The 18243-nt window shown below is 33.4% G+C and overlaps 1 protein-coding gene and 1 long non-coding RNA gene across 4 annotated transcripts in view; one reads left to right on the top strand and one right to left on the bottom strand.

Annotated features, from left to right (window-relative positions):
• LOC107984361 (uncharacterized) overlaps positions 1 to 17347 on the top strand; it is a 552293-nt gene extending 534946 nt beyond the window's left edge. For both annotated transcript variants that reach the window (XR_002957260.2, XR_002957261.2), the window contains one exon: positions 6703 to 17347. This is a non-coding gene — a long non-coding RNA (uncharacterized LOC107984361). The remainder of the gene's footprint in view (positions 1 to 6702) is intronic.
• RAB38 (RAB38, member RAS oncogene family) overlaps positions 1 to 18243 on the bottom strand; it is a 371729-nt gene that overhangs the window by 90984 nt on the left and 262502 nt on the right. The gene's annotated exons all lie outside the window — the stretch shown is intronic.

The raw sequence follows: 18243 nt of genomic DNA on the forward strand, positions 1-18243 counted from the left end.
CATTACGTATGAAATAATATGTACACATTATATATATATAAAAAATATATGTATACATTATATATCATATATATGTACACATTATATATCATATATATATATGAAACTAACATACCATAATATCTCTATGACATGAGGTGATAATATAGGCAAAATGTATAGTATTGTGGGGGAACTAGAACTACAGATATATTGAATTTATTTTCACTGGGAAGAAGAAAGGATTAAGTAGCTCTGATTACAGCTGAGACTCCTGGAACAGCTACAAGCTATCAAAGTATTAAGTCATTTCAATTTCTGTAAAAGAAATGTGCTGTTGTTCCAGTACCCTCTGGTCCCATTTTGTAGGGTTGATGGAGTTCAACTGAAATGCTTACTTGAAGATCAGCTTGAATTTGTTTAAAAGGAAGCAGAAAAGCACCCCCAGGTGTGAAATGAGGGTGAATTGCTCTAGCGGGGCCTCTGGAAAGAAAGCAGCTTGTCTGGCTGATGAGGGTGTTTGCTAAGTTGAATGCCATTAAACATTCTTGCCCATATCATTATGTGAGTCAAACACAGCACAGATGATGGGGAAAATAAACACTTAAAAATAGCTTTTCTCTTGGTGTCAAATACAGTACATAAATTGGAAAAATGAACAAGAGTTGTAGGAATAGAGGATTGAGATCCTTGTGTCGGGTACTGAGGGAGGGCGATTTGGCTCACTAACAGCCAGGCTCCTTAAGCCTTTGCTTTGGAGAGCAAGAGAAGAAAGAATAGCAGAGTCCTGAAATTTGTTTCATTTCAAGCATGGGATGGGCAACTTAACTAAGCATTTTAATTTAGTTCTCTTATCCTCCCAACTAAGTATTATTAGCCTCATTTTACAGATGAGCAACTAAGGCAAATTTATAGTTAATTAAGCTAGACAATGGAGAGTCTCTTTGGCTCCAAAGATTATACTACTTCCACTGCACCGGCTGATTTAAGGGGAGGAGAAGCTGCACTATCTCTGCTTTGGGATATGTTTATAATTCCATGCCAATAAGTAAGCAAAATTTGAAAACCCACTTTGTGCTGGCCACTGAGCCACAAAAAATGAGACATAGGCTATGTCTCATTGACAGAGTTAATGTAGCTGAGAAGATAGACATATTATTCTAAATGCAAAGCTGATTGTGATGAGTGCTATAGAGGAGGATAAAAACCAAGTCTTCAAAAGGAACATTTCCTGAAACTATTTCTTCACATATACTTGTGCCTTTGTACATGTCATTTTCTTCCCCTATTTCTTCTAAATTATTTAAGCCTGCGTATTATTCTGAATCAGTTAATAATTGAGATGCTCTTTAAAATGTTATTTATTTGGATAGATATCATGTAATCAAAACTGTACCAGGTACTGATGAAGATACAGCAATGTATAAGAGTGAACTCTACTCATTAGTAACGTAAAAGGGAATGATAGACAGAAGTCAGACAGAGCTGAATTAAAATTCTTCAGTTGTTCAGCAGCTGTCTGACCATAGCCAAATTGCAAGCCCCCGACCTTCCATTTCCACTCATACATTTAGAAGGAGACCATGCCAAGGGGCCATTCAACCCTTCCCCAGCCATCTGTGGTAAGAATCTCCCACATTCTAGACAACAAGATGTCTGTACCAAAAGTGGTACATTATAGGGAGGTGAACCATCCAATTTGAAATCTGGAGGGACCATGCTTGCTGGAATCTAGGGCAACACATCTAGGAGAAAGAAAACTGTTTCGAATTTGGGTGCAGACACATCACAACAAATACATTGCTCTCTGCTGAGATTTATGAGAGAAAGTCAGAAACTCCAACTCTCCATTAATTTCAAAACATGACTGCTGAAAATTTTCCAAAGTAACCATCTCCTGTAGTTGTTGGGCTAGGGAACAGAAAAAAGAAAAATAAAAAAACAGAGAATTGGTTGTCTTTTAGACCAACATTTCCAGGCAGAGGAAAACAGAGGAGGCATCTCTGAGTCAGACATGGGTTCAGGTCCCGAATGTGCTTGTTGTGCAAGTTACTAATCGTATTGACCCTCAATTTCCTCCTTTGTAATCCTGGCTGGTCTTACCTATGATAAGTTTCGTTGTGAATATTACAGGGCCTCATATGTGTGAAGTGTGTAGAAAGGAGCCCAGCACATATTAGGCACTCAAAAGAGCTAGTATCTTCTTCCACTCTGCATTCAGATTAGTTTTATCCTATTCTAATTTCTTCAGGCACTGGAGTGTTTCATTAATAGTTTACTTGTTTGTAGAAAGATTCCTTATACATTTTTCACTAAAGCCAATCTTACTGATCTTTTTGCCTTTTAAGTGTAGACATCTGAGAAACTCTATAGCTTAGAAGTCTACATTTTTTTCTCATTAATTGGGAAGTTAGGTACTTTTAAAGTGAATAGAATAAGAACATGTAAACATGAGTTTAAAATAATTCTTCAGATTTAACCCCCCCCAAACCAATGTGAACCATAAATGAAAATCTGCATCCTTCCTGGTAACCTCTCCTATATTCCTAAAATCATGAATCAGCCAGTATGTTTACAGAGTTGGTGCCAAAGTCCTACCTGCTGATACTTTTATTAACATTCCTATTTGAAAAATTGTAAATATTTAACTATTGTAGGTTTTGCAAACACTGGTATTTTTATACCTCCAGCAATCCCTAGCTTCTAAATATTTTATCTTGGGTAGCATGCAGTATGTGAAATGACATTCTTGGGAAATACCCTATTTCCCAGATCTTAAAAACCTAAAGGTCTTGAAGTTAATATTGAACAGTGTTAAGAGGGGTATTTTTAAATTTCTTTCGTAGATTTGTTGTTGTTCTTTTTTAATAAAACTGAAAAGCAGCAGAAATATTTGTAAATGGAAGGATTTTCCCCAAAATTTCTAGAGCAGATACACATATTTGCCTAAATTTTGCTTGGATTTAAAAAACACCAGCCCATACGAAATTGTGTTTAAGAACTGAGAAAGAAAGAATGGCTTTAGAATCCATTTAAAGGCAAAACCACCATTACAGGATAAATGAGATGAATAGTTTCCTCTTCCACTTTTAATGCTCAATGTACTTTTCAGCTCCAGGATAAAATAGCTTTTCTTACTTTCTGAGACAAAGACAGGCAAGTGGAATGACCAGAACACTCGAATTGAGCTAAAGACTAACCACAGGAGAAGGAGCAGATGGGCTTAAGCAAAGACATGACTCAGAATCCTTGTCATCATATAATTATAGGCAGCTATCATGAATCTGTAAGAATCTGTAAGGATGGGCTCTATAAATATCTATTTTTCATCTCAAGATTGGAAGTCTTTACCTTATTTAATGGATCTATGCTATATTTCCCAAAAATAAAAAGAGAAATATCCCAACTCTTCAGGTGAATAAACTAATAACCTCCAAAAGTTGCCTACTCAGCACATCATAGGGACAGTAAAAATTGCAACATGATAAAATGAATACCTGACCTTCACCAGGGAAAGTCATTATTAGGCAGCATGATCTCCAGTCTCTGTTCTTCAAAGGCATTACTCTTCTATCATTCCCCAAATGTAACATGTCCTCACCAACCACAGAGCGTGGGTAAAACCTTTCCCTCAACCTCTGCACTCTACTTTTTCCCTAGTATGCTGTAGCCTTCCTCAGATCCCAAACCAATCATCTCCTCAGAGCCACTTTCCATGAATCTTCTCAATGTATATGAAATCACTCAGAGAGTGTAAATCTCAGGTGCAATTTCACATTTGCTTTTGCTTTTTAAAATTAGTATCTGCTCCCCTCCTAGACTGTGGATTCCACAACAGCAGGAGCATGTCTGGTTTTGTTCATCATTGTATTCTCAGTGCTGAGCCTAACACCTGGCACATACTAGGTGCCTAATAAATATGTGTTGAAGGACTACATTAATGAATACAACATTGTGCATTATTTCTAGGGTTCCAAAAATGAACATTGTCAGAATCTCAATGCTTATTAAAAAATTTAATTGAGATGGGAATGGGGAAGAACATCAGTTTCTCACTGGTTCCCAACTGTGCTTTCAGGTTTTTAAAGGGCCCTTATCATACTTCCAGTTACTGTAATCCACCACAGCAAGAGTGTAACTAAGACAACATGGCAGGAACAGGTGCCAAAAATGTGTCCATAAGACAAACTAGGATTCCCCCATGTAGGAAGGACCAAGATGCCTGTTATCACACTTTTAGAGCTTCACTGCTTCTTGTTAAGGTATTTTGTCTTCTGACAGCCTGTTTCTTAATGCAAATACTCTCAGGAGTAGTGCCATTGTCAACAACACTTAGGCAGGACTTTTGTTACTGGTGCACAATCGCTAATAGTAGACTTCCTATGGAGACAGATAATAATTAGAGCCCTCAATAGTGGAATGGGCTGCCTAAGGAAACAATAAAATGTCCATTACTGTGGATATTCAAGTAAAGCTGTGTATCTACTTATGAAGAATGCAGTCCAGAGGTTTACTGCACCGGGTGCAAAGACGGAAGGTGTGGCTCCCAAGGTTCTTTCTGCCTGTAAGATGCTATGAGCTAGTGCTCAGTTTCTAATGAACTGGAAGGAAATGGCTTTCAAATGCAGATGAAAGGCACAGGGGCAACGGCACTGTCTGGTACTAGTCTAAAAAATGTCATTTATTAGCTAAGTGATTTTGGCAAAAACTTAACTCCTCTAAGCTGTTTTTATTTCTTTATAATGGCTATTTGAATGGTTTTGGAACAATGAAAGGAGAGAGAAGCTGTACTTTTTAAATGTAAGCTATACAGTGCTAAGCACATTTTTTGGCCATTGTTATATCAAGAAAAGCTCCTTTTACCTTAATTACTAAATAGGTCCCACAGTTGGGAAGAAAGTTTCTAGACAAAAAGAATCAGGGAAGGGGCACCATTATTCCTCTCTACCCCAATGTCCTAAAGATAGAAATATGATTAAATTGTCCAGGGAACTTAGATTCCCCTATAAGCTCAGGAATGGCAACTTTCTTGGGACATCAGAGCATATAATCTCTCCATCCTAACCATTTATGGGCTAAAAAAATAAACAGTTCTTTAAGTGTAAATAAGATACAACTGCCAGAAGTCATGGAATTACCTGGATGGTTTGTTCAGGCTTTCTTCTTATAGAAACAGTGATTATTTGAAAACAGTGCCAAAGCAAAACTGTCTTACCCTTGGAAAATCTTATTTGCTTTACCTCTGCAACAGGTAGCCAGCTTGTCTCTCTCTACTCCTTCCGTTTTTTTTTTCCCCATAGTCATTCCATCATTCATTCATTCAACAAATATTTACTGACTTATCTCTGAACGAGACACTGACGGGCATGCTGGAGATATGATGAAAAACTCAAGTGGTCCTTACACCAAGGAGCTTACATCCTATGCAGAAAGATATGTAACTATAAGAAACTCTTTAAAAAATTGAAATACACAAGTGAGTAAAATATGAAGGAGGGGTTTACAGGAGATTGACACTACATAATAGAATAATTTATCTTATCAGGAAGATCAGAGATGGCCTAACTGAAGATAAGAAAACTGAGCCAAGATCTGAGAGAAAAACTAAATTGAGAGTATCAGCTAACAAACACTCCCATAGTATAGAAATCAACAGAGATGAGGTGAAACTCCACAGGCTTTCCAATACCTCTCAGGTGGATAGGGAAGTGAATTGTAAGAACATTTATTGTTTGGTGAGATCCTAATGCATGAAGTCCATAAATCTGTGCAAAAAGCAGATGCAACAAATTAACAAAGTATTTGGCAAGCAAATGTCTGAAGATAGCACTGTTTCTTCTTTAAATACTTATATTCACCAGCTAGACACTTGTTCCCAAGTTTACCTCCCAACTGACACACCAACTGGAACTCAATGTTCCCAATATTAATCTAATGTTCATCTCTCCTTATGTCCTCAGACCCTCTGTCACAGAAAGAAAGGTAGGAAGGAAGGAAGGAAGGAAGGAAGGAAGGAAGGAAGGAAGGAAAAAGGAAGAGAGGTAGGGAAGAAGGAAGAGGGAGGGAGGGAAGAAGGAAGATGGAGGGAGGGAGGAAGAGAGAGAAAAAGAATACAAAAAGATAAGAAATAAAGCAAAAAAGGAAAGAAATGAAGGAAGGAAAGGAAGGAAGCAAGGAAGAAAGGGTGGAAAAAAAGGCACCTAGTGTTTCCTTTTCTCACCCATTCATCATCTTTTCTCATGCATGTTTTACTCTTGTTTTTTAATATATATGTTTATTCCAATCCAAAGTCTTTCAGCTATGCTCTCTGGAACTCTCATTCCATTTTTAACTCCTCAAACTTTATGCAGAATTTTTCTTTACATCCAGCATCAGCTAAATCATCACATTTTTGGGAGGGACCCAGTTCTGCTTTCTCTGGCTGCACATTGGAATCAATGGAAGTGATGTTAAAATTATAGATACTAGTTGTCCTGGTGTATGCCTCCTTTATAAACATTTATTAAAGGCTTCCCAAGTGATAAATAGGCATTGAGGGTTGAAAAATCCCTGCAGACTAGTTCCAGAGCAAGGCTTTTATCTTCTGTATCTGTGTTTCCCTTATCCTTACATAGGGCAGGCGTATAATATGATAACAATAATGGACTGAATTAAACTACATGCCAAACCTATTTTATTCACTGACTCCATAAAAAATCACAGGACTCTCATTTTCTTTTCCAGAATTGTTTTGGAGAACTTGGAACTCAACATTCCATAAAGTAAGTGTAATATTTTTTCTAAAGAATTTTATCCTCCTTTCACTAACGTCATTCAAGTTTTATCACCAATAGCTCTATAAACATCAGCCTGAAGGCACATGGAAGCATATTTCCTAAGGCTGCTAAAGCATTCATTCTCAACCCTAACTGAACAGTAGTATATGCTGCCTTGCAATGAGGTTGATAAACAGGGCATAGAAGGTCAAGGATTCTAAGCCAGGAGCAAATCCCACACCGGTTCAACTTAAGCAGTACATTATTCCAGAATAATGCAATCACCGGAGCTGTGCTTACACTACAAATCTTAAAAGTGTCATTCCATTATAAAAAGGGCTTTGAGAGCATTAATAATCATAGTCCATCAGGAAAGTCCTTCATTCAACTCATGGTCCAATCAAAACTGCCTTAATGTTATAGACTTTGGTATGGCCTATGTAGCATCTAAAATTATTTGCTACATTGAATTTATTACTGTGTTTGGCTGACTTTTTTTTTTTTTTTTAACTCAAGACACGCTGATAACTTTTATGCTAAGGAAGGAGAAGGCAAAACAAAAGCATGACAGAAAGTGTAAAGATTGGACTGCAGGAGAAGATATGTGAATACTTTGATTATCCTGTTTGATATTGTCTTACTTTTGGGAGAAGAAAAGGATGAGTATTAATAAGTCCATCTTACAGAGAAAGAAATGAAGGGTTGAAAAAGAGCTCATACGGCTAGTAAGTGGTGGAGTGAAACCCAAATGCCAGTGTTTTAAAAGGATATAGCCAATATTCCAGAGAAAAGGAAATTTCTATAATAAGGCCACCAAACTTTTAGTATATTAAGTAAGGCACTGCTATATTTTCTAGAAATTATCCTTTTACAAATACTTTTCATATAGATATCTAATTATTGTATCCGCAATTGTCGAAAAGACTCAACTCTCTCCCATTGAATTGTTTTGGTGCCAAAGTAGAAATAGATCAACTGTATGTGGGGGGTCTATTTCTGGACTCTTTTTTGATATATTGATTTTTTGTTCTTATTTTGTCAGTACTGTTTTGGTCATTCCAGGTTATTTGCATTACCACACAAACACATAAAGCTTATTCATTTCTACAAGAAAAGTCTGTTGGGGTTTTGATTAGTATTGTTTGGAATCTAAACATGAGTTTGAGTAGAAGTCACTTATCAACAATACCTGTGTTGAATAATTCTAAATTATGAATGCAGCGTATCTTACTATTTATTTAGGTTCTCTTTAAATTCTCTCAGCAATATGTTATTGTTTTCAGTGTACTTGTATCTATGCGTTTTGCTAAATTTATGTCTAAGCGTTTTGCATATTGTGATGCTTTCAAATGATATTTTAAAAATTTTATAACAGCTCACTGACAATATATATTTAGATAGATTTATATGTATATTTTATATATTTTAAATTGATCATATATATGTATGTGCATATATATGCATATATATATAATGCTTGTATCTTTTAGTCTTTCTAAATTTATTTAATAATTTTGATGGAAATTTTTTGCAGATTGCTTAGACTGTTCTACATACATAATGATGCTGTCCGTGAATAGAAATTTTTACTCATCCTTTCCTATCATTAAATTGATGTATTCCCATTATTTATTTCTTTTTTTGCCTAATTACATTAACTAGAATGTCTAATATGATGTTTAATGAACGTGGTGAGAATAGACATTCTTGCTTTGTTCCCAGGCTTAAAAGAAAAGCATTCAGTCTTTCAACATTAAGAAATGATGTTAGCTCTGTGTTTTTGGTAGATGCCTTTTATTAGTTTATGAGTCTACTTTCTACTCCTATTGTTCTAGGCATATTTTTATAAATAAATACAAATTTTTTTCTTCTTTTCCCTTTTTGAAATGGTTATATAATTATTTTATTCACTTGATAAGTTGAATTATATTGATGGATTTTTTTAGTAAGAATCAAACTTTCAATATTGGGGAAAACCTGATTTCTTCATAAGATATTATCTTTCTATGTATCTTTGCGTTTGACTTATTCATGTTTTGTAAAGAACTTCTGAACCTTCACTCTTGAAGGATATTGGTCTCTTGTGTGTTTGTATTGTAAATGTTTTGTTTGGTTTTGGCATTAGGCAATGCAGCCTCATAAAATGAGATAGAAAATATTTCTTCATCTTGCATTTTCTGAAATATTTTGTGTAAGCTTATTTTATTTCTTTCTTAATTGTTTGTTAGCATTCTCCAGTGAATCCATCTGGGCCTATACGTTTCTTGGTGGGACGTTTATTCATAACTATGAAATCATTTCTTTAGTAGATAAAAGCTCTTTAATTTTTCTATTCCATTTGGGTTGAATGAAAGAGCTTTTTTCCATTTCCCTTATTAAGTTTATTCATATTAAGTTGTGTATTAATTTTATTATTTTCCTTTTATTGTCAGTAGCATATAGAAGGAAGTACTTTGTATTATTCCTGATATTGGTATTTCATTTTCTTTTTCTTTATTTGTCTGGGAGTTTATTATTTCACTAATATTTTCAAAAAATTATCTCTTGGTTTTGTGAATTCTATGTATTATTTGTTTTCTATTTATTTTATGGAATTGTGGTTTTATTTTTATTATATCCTTTTTCTTGTTAAAATGCTTTTTAAAGTTATTGGTTTACAGTTTTAAATTTCAACTTTGGTTTTATATTCAGGAGGTACACATGCCAGTTTGTTATTGGGTATACTGTATGATGCTGATGTTTGGGGTATAATTGGTCTCATCACCCAGTCACTAAGCATAGTACCCAACAGGTAGTTTTCAACCACTGCTATCCTCTCCCCCTCAGTAGTTCCCAGTTTCTGTTATTGGCATCTTTATGTCTATGAGTACCCAATGTTTAGCAGCCACTTAAAGTGAGAGCATGTGGTATTTGGTTTTCTATTCCAGCATTAATATGCTTAGGATAATGGCCTCCAGCTGCATCCATGTTGCTGCAAAGGACATGATTTTGTTATTTTTTAATGGCTGCATAGTATTCTATTGTGTATTTTTACCGCGTTTTCCTTATCCAATACACCACTGATGGGTGCCTTGGTTGTTTCCATGCCTTTGCCACTATGAATAGTATTATAATGAATATATGAGTGCATGTATCTCTTTGGTAAAATGATTTTTTTTAATATCCAGTAATGAGATTCCTGGGTCAAATGATAGTTCTGTTTTAAATTCTTTGAGAATTCTCCAAACTGCTTTCCACAGTGGCTGAACTAATTTACATTCCCTCCAACAGTGTATAAGTGTTCCCTTTTGTCTGCAACATGCCAGCATCTGTTGTTTTTTTGACTTTTTAATAACAGCCATTCTGACTAGTGTGAAATGGTGTCTCACTGTAGTTTTGATAAGGTTGTAACATTTTGATTATGATGTATATTGGTGTGATTTTCTTTGCGTTTTTACTACTCAGAGCTTATTAAACTTCTTGGGTTTATACGATTATATTTTCCATGAGTTTGAAAACTTTTTACCATTATTTCTTTACATATTTTTCCACCATCCCTCTCCCATCCCTAAGTCTCTTTTGGCCTCTTCTGGGACTCCAATTTTAGGTATATTTTACTAGTTGATATCGTTTCACAGTTTATTGAGAGTCTCTTCATTTTTTTCCTCCTATTTCAGTTTGAGTAGCTTCTATTTCCCCGTATTCAAAGTTACTGATGCTTTTCTGTAGTTTATAATATACTGAAAAGCCAACTGATGAATTTGTTATTTTAGATATTATATTTTCAATATAAAAATTTTCTTTCTCATAATTTGTATTTTTCTATTGAAATCTTGTATCTTTTCCCTCCTTATGTTCATTTAGTCCTTTTAAGTCCTTGACCATATTTATAATAGCTATTTTGTGTCCTGGTTAGCTCTTTCCATCATTTCTGCATCTCTTTATTTTGATTGACTTTTCTCATACTTATAGGGCATATATTCCTGTGTCTTTGCGTGTCTACTCATGTTTTATTTAATCCTAAACCTTATAAATGGTGTATTTTCCTCTTATTTAAAGAAGATTGGATTTGATACTTGCAGACTTAATTTACTTGTACTTCAGCTTTTTTATATTAAGAATTGTTTATAAGAGTCATTACATTTGGACTAGAGTAGCCTTATTCCTGAGATGTGAGATTTCTGAAGTGTCATTTAATTATCTGAAGTTTCAACAAGGTCTCTCTATTCTGGCTGGTTGGAACTCAGATTTTTCCAATGGATATACAAGCTTTGGAATCTTCACTGAGTTCTCAGCAACTTGGTAGGTATCCTTTGCCCAGCATTTTCAAGTATCATCCTGTGTGTGCATACTTTAATAATCAGCCAAAGACTAAATAGGAGTCTTATGTAGGAAGCAATCTAGAGCTCCTTTTCTTCACAGTTATTGATTCTCTTGTACTCTGACTGCAAATTAGATTCTGTAGTACTCTGACTGCAAATTCCAGTCCCTTACATTATGTCCAAAACATTATGTCCAAACTTTGATTTCTGTCTCTTCAGCTCAGATACCTGTGTGCCTCTTGGTCTTCAGCTCCAAGTGCTATGGGTGCCTCAGAGCTGAAAGCTGGGCAATCATGAGGCTCACCACATTTGTTATCCTTATCTTGGGGATCATGGTTGTGTTCTGAAAATATATTTTTCTTTTCACATACTTTTCATATACATATTTGTTTAGTTTTATAGTTATTTATAACAGAATGGCTAGATTATTACCAGCTACTGTAACATGTGAGAATCAGGAGTCCTCTCCCACCCATGAGCATTAAAAATCAAATGAACAAATAAAGCTTCAAGAAGACAGTCAATTATTCCCATTTTCACCAATGTGCTAAGTGCTGGCATTGGTCCTTAAGAACCCAAACTTATAACCATTTGATTAGTGAAACTTTTGGATGGAGTAAATGTAGCACTCATTAGTTATGTGAATTTTTACAAGTTATTTAATGTTTCTGAGTTTTGCTGTCATCTTTAAAATGGAGATAGAAATACTCTTTATAATTGTTGTGAGGTTTAGAAGAGTGCTTTGAAGACACATAACACAGTGTTTGACACATATTAAGCACCCTACCAAATATTATTATTCTGAAGTTAAAAGCTAAAATCTTTATTACAGTGATGCTTAGAAAGTATTTTCATTATAAAAACAGGGTATAAATGTAATTTTAAAATCCAAGTAGTACAAGAGATTACACAATAAGAATTATCTGCCTATCACCTCAGAACTAGAATCTTACTTCTGAGAGGTAACATGATCAATTTTCATATGTACTCTTCCAAAATTTTGCCATGGCTGTACAAACCTCAGTTTCTGTAGCTTCTTCATGTTTATGGAAATGGGAGTATTTTATACACAATTTTCTCTAGCTTGCTTTTATTCACCCATTGATATATCTTCAGTTTTGTTCCTTTTTACACCTACTAATACAATTCATCCTTTAATAACTGCATCATATTCATTGGTATAAATGTAACAAAATTTGTTATGTTTATTGACATATTATAATAACATTTATTTATTGACAGTATTAAGATATTTTCAGGTTTTTGCTTTTATTAATAAGGCTGTAAGAATCATCTTTGTACATATATGTTTGTGTATGTGTGAACATGACTAGGTAAGTTTCTACAACAAAGATTGTTAGATTAAATAGTTATGTATGGTATGACATTTTGGTCAATATAGCTGCATTTTCTTCCAAAGAGTTTCTCAATTGGTGTTCCCACAAACAACACTGATTTCTTAGCACAGTTTCTAATACTGTATATTGTCAAACAAAAATTTTGTGATTTGATACGTGAAACACAGAAATTTAATATTTTATTTTGCATTGCTTTTGCTGTGGAAATAGATGGAACATTTTTATTTGGTTATGAGCTATTTGTATTTCTATCTAAATATCTATTCTAAATATTTGCCCCTTTCCTATTTCTTTTAAATTGGTTTGTCTTTTTTGCAAGATGTTTAAAGTAGAATCAAGAGATTAGTTCTTTGACCCATATTACAAAAAAAATATATTTTTTTCACATTGAGGTTTAATTTATTTTTGTTCAGTTTGTTGTTTTTAGTTTTAAAAGTTTTATATAAACAATATTTTTAATTATTTCCATCATAGTTTTTACTTTTTCTGTTCTTTCTTTCCTATTCCAATATATAAAAATTAAACCATGGATATTTTTGACATTTCTTTCAAAATTTCTAGTATTTAAATATTTTAGTCACATGCAATAGATTTTTAAAATTAGAACTGAATAATCTGGTTTTTTTAAAAATAAATTGCTAGTCATTTGTTGAATAATATTATTTCCTTAGTAACTCATTGGAAATTCAATCCAATAATATGTTTTCATTTTTCACTTTACATGTGATATTTCTCTTTTGCTATAATCCTGGGAGCCTTTACAAATTTTACAGAGAGGGATAAATTTGCTATACTTATTTTTTGGTAGCAATTCTAATATATATAAGCACACATACATTTTATATATAGTATAAATATACTATTAGAAAATGATGTCTGATTTACTGATTCTAATGATCAATCAAAACTGATCTCAATATTTATAATACTGATAATATTTTTTCTTCTCTCCTTTTAAGACTAAAATGCATTTTGTAATGATTAGTCTCGGTCATAAGACTTAACATAATTCTCTCAGAGAGTTTTGGTCTGGCCATATAGCAGTTCGGAGGGATGCCTAGCTCATAAGAGAGAATGAAATCTGTGTGCTCAACTGCAAGTGTGATTGGATTTACAGATTAGCAAAATGGGAAAGATCAAAGCCCTGTTATGAAGCAGACCTACAAGCCTAGAGCTTGCTCTTGTAAGAAAAATTGTTCTTTCCCACTAATCTTTCTAATCTTGACCTCACAGAAGGGGTTTGTACTTAAGATAATGTTATCAGGATGCCAAATTCAATCTCAGACCACATTTCACTTTCTCTTAATGTGGGTGAACACTCCTTTGGTGAATAAATTGGTATCTCTATGGAAATTTAAGGCTTCAAGCAGAATTCTAATTCCATTAAATTGATGTTCAACAGAACACACTGAATTTTGTGGAAACTATGGAGGTCTGCTTACTTACTCTGAATTAATCACAGTCTAATTTTTCCCAAGTGGTAGAACTTCATTGTTCTTATGTTTGTGACTTCAGTGTCTAGCACTGTGCCTGTCACACATCAATTTGCAGGTTGAGTCATTTTTTTTAAGAATCAAAGGTAAATTTGCAGTTTATGCAATTTTAAAATTCTAAACCATAAACCTATATTATTTACAGCTGAACAGGAATGTTTGGGAAGTTTTGAAATTGACTATATGTGGGCAGATAATGAGTTTCTTACCTTCCTGTTTCCTGTATTCGGTCACAACATAATCTTAAGGTGGTGAGCTTTTTCTTATCCTGAATGTTAGGAATATTGGAGCATTTCAAAATGCTTGTTTTATTAAAAATTTTTCCTCATATTGATTTCTATCTTGGAACAAAATGGAATGCATCAAAAATAGTCACAACTGAAACTGTAATGGAAACAATTTAATATTATTGAAGCAGAGGATGCTTCAGTGTATTCCAGTTCCTCAGGGTCATGATAATATTATCATGGATCTGTGTACTCACATATATCCTCTTGCCTCTACCATTATATGCCTCTTAAGAATCATTTATAGTATCTCAAATTCCTGAAATGAATCATTTTCTTCTTTACCTCTGGGTCTTTCCTTAGGCAAGATCCCTATTGGGAAAATTTCTTGAACTTTTTTTCTCTTTTCATTTAGCTACTTGTATTAGCATTTACTAGTCAATGTAAGTACAATATCTCTAGGATAATATCTTGACTTGCTAAAGCGTGGTTATATGCCCTTCCTATGTGCCACAGCACCTTTCTTACTTCTCATATTTTGCAGGAGTTAAGAAGGGCATTCCTCATCTGTGACGCAAATTCATTGCATTCTTTCTCAACTGAGTTTAGGTGGAGCCCCAGAATATTCTTTCTCTCTCTCTCTGTCTCTCTTTCTCTCTCCTTTTAAACAATCTTGTTAAGGTATAATTGACATACTATATATAGTTAAAGTGTATAATTTTATATGTTTCCACAAATGTGTACATCCATAAAATCAGAATCAAAATCAATATAATAAACATATCTATCAAACTCAAATGTTTCTCCATGCCCCTTGTAGTCCTTCTCTTTTGTGCCTCCCTACCCCTACTTTACCCAGCATTCATACAGTATATGCTCTTTTTATTCTTCTGGTTTCTTTTATTCATCACACTTATTTTAAGATGCATCCTTATTGTTGGGTGTTACCAATTGTTCCTTACTTTTTGTTGCTAAGTAAATTGGCTTATTCATTACACTGTTGATAGACATTTGAGTTGTTTTTAGTTTTGGGCTACTGAAAATAAAGTTTCTATGAACATTCATTTACAAATCTTTATATAAACATATGCATTAATTTATCTTAAATAACACGGAGTGGAATAGCTAATTTATACGGTAGGTACACATTAAGCTTTCTAAGAAACTGCCAAAGTGTTTTTCAGCGTGGTTAGACCCTTTTATGTTTCTGCCAGTAATATATAAAAGTTTCATTTACTCAGCACCCTTGCCAACACTTAATATGGTTATTTCTGTTGAATTTTAGACATTCTAATAGATGTGTAGTGGTATCTTACTATAGTTTCAATGTTAATTTTTCTACTAACTAATTATGTTGAGCATGGTATCTTACTATAGTTTCAATGTTAATTTTTCTACTAACTAATTATGTTGAGCAAGTTTTCATATGATGAATCCACCTATGTGTCTTTTTTGGTGGAATGTATTATCAAATCTTTTGCCCATGTTTTTCATTGGGGTTGCATGTTTTCTTTTGGTTGAATGTTAAGATTTCTTTATATATTCTTGATAGTCTTTATCAGATATATGACTTGAAAATAGTTTTCCTAGTCTGCCTTTTTTTTCATTCTTTTAGCAGCGACTTTTGAAGATCATTCATTTCTTCTTTTGATAAAGTCAAATTTTTTAATTCATTCTTTTATGAATTCTGCTTTTGATAAAATATCCAAATAATATTTGTCTAACCCAAAGTTACAAACATTTTGTCCTATGTTTACGTCTAGAAGTTATGTGGTGTTAGGTCTTACATATAGATCTATGATCCACTTCAAAGTTCATTTTCTTTTTTTTTTTTTTTTTTTTTTTTTTGAGATGGAGTCTCTTTCTGTCGCCAGCTTGGAGTGCAGTGGCACTATCTCGGCTTACTGCAATCTTCGACTCCCTGGTTCAAGTGATTCTCCTGCCTCAGTCTCCCGAGTAGCTGGGATTACAGGCATGCACCACCACACCCAGCTAATGTATTTTTAGTAGAGACGGGGTTTCACCATGTTGGCCAGGATGGTCTCGATCTCCTGACCTTGTGATCCAGCCCACCTCATCCTCCCAAAGTGCTGGGATTACAGGTATGAGCCACAGTGCGCAGCCTCAAAGTTCACTTTTACGTGGTATGGGTTCAAGTTCAATATTTTGTTTTTTTATTTTTTTGCATGTGGATATCTGTTTCAGTATTGTTGAAAAGACTATCTTTTCTCATCTGCTTGCACTTGTGTCTTTGTCTAAAGTCAACTGACCATATATGTGTAGATTATGTATAAATTTGTATTCTATTCCACTGAAGGTTGTTTATCTTGATGACAGTACCATAGAGACTTGACTATAGTAACTACACTATAGTCTTAAAAGTTGGTTGGTGAATTAAAGTCAATATTCAAATGTGTTTCTTCTTCACAAAGTTGTTTTGACTCTTCTAGGCCCTTTGAATTTCCATATTAATTTTCGATTCAACTTGTCAAGCTCTATAAAAAGCCTATGGAGATTTTGAAGGAATTGAATCTATAGATCAATTTAGAGAGAAATAACATCTTAACCTTTTTGAGTCTCCGAGTCCTTGATCATGATACATAGCATCATATATTAGGTCTTTGTAAGTTTGCTTCACAAGGTTTTTATTGTCTTTATTTTATAAGACTTGTACATCTTTTGCCAGATTTATACATATTTTATATTTTTGATGGTTCTGATTCTTTATTTAATTTCAACTTCCAGTTGTTCTTTGCTAGTATATAGAAACATGATTGATTTTTATACATAAATTATAGAATTTTCTGAAGATTCCATAGGATTTTCAATGTAAAGGATCATACTATCTGGTAATAGATATCTTTACATCTTTCTTTCTAATATGGATGTCATTTATTTCTTTTTCTTGATTTGTGGTACTGGCTAGTATCATAATTATAGTAGTTAGTGTAAGTGATGAGAATATGCATGCTTGCTGTGTTTCTTATATTAAAGATACAGCATTCAGTTTCATTAATAACTGTAATGTTAGGGGAAAGTTGTTTACAGATGCCATTTATCAATTGGAAGAAATTCTCTTCTATGTCTAGTATGCTGAGAAGCTTTATTGGGAATGGATATGGATTTTGGCAAAATTTTTTTATATTTATTGAGATGATCTTTTTTTCTGTTTTAGTCTCTTATTGTAATGAATTAAATGGATTGATTTTCAAATATTAAAACCCACCTCACATTTCTGGGATAAACTTGGTCATGATGAATTAACCATATTATATATCATTTGATTCAATTTTCTAAAATGTTAAGAAGTTTTGCATTTATTTTCATAAGGGATAGTGGTCTGTAATTTTCATTTTATTTAATATATTAGTCTGGTTTTAGTGTCAGCGTAATACTGGTCTCATAGAATAAATTGGGAGGCATTTGCTCCTTTTTGATTTTCTGAAATAGTTTGTTTAGAAGTTGCATTATTTTTTCTCTTTGTTTAGTAGAATTCCCCAGTGAAGACATTTCAGACTGGAGTTTTCCTTGTGTGAAGATTTTTAACAAACTAAATTCCTTTAATTGATATAGGGCTATTCAGGTCACCTATTTCTTTTTGCATGAGCTTTTTATAGTTTGTGTCTCAAAGGACTAGTCCATTTCATCTAAGTGTCCAATGTATTGCATAAAGTTATTCATAATATTCACTTATTACTCTTTTAATATTTGTAGAATCTGTAGTTGTCACTTATTTTATTCTTGATATTGGTAATTTATGTTGTTTTTTGCTTTCTCTCTTTTTTACCCTAATCCTTCCTGCTAGATGTTTGTCAGACTCATTGATCTCTTTAAAGAACCAGCTTTTGGTTTTGATGATTTTCTCTATTGCTTTGTTTTCTATTTAATTGATATCCACTTTGATATTCATTATTTCCTTTTTTCTACTTACTTTGGGTTTAATTTTCTTTCTTTCTTTTTTTTTTTTTTTAGTTCCTTCAGGTAGAAGTTTTTTCTTTTATACTAAACATATTCAGCACTATAGTATTTTTCTTTATCTGCTACTTTAGGCACATCTCTTTATTTTATTTTATTTTATTTTACTTTAAGTTCTGGGATACATGTAGGCACATCTCTTAAATGTTGATATG

This window comes from Homo sapiens, chromosome 11 (genome assembly GCF_000001405.40).
Source record: "Homo sapiens chromosome 11, GRCh38.p14 Primary Assembly".
Taxonomy (NCBI): Eukaryota; Metazoa; Chordata; class Mammalia; order Primates; family Hominidae; genus Homo; species Homo sapiens.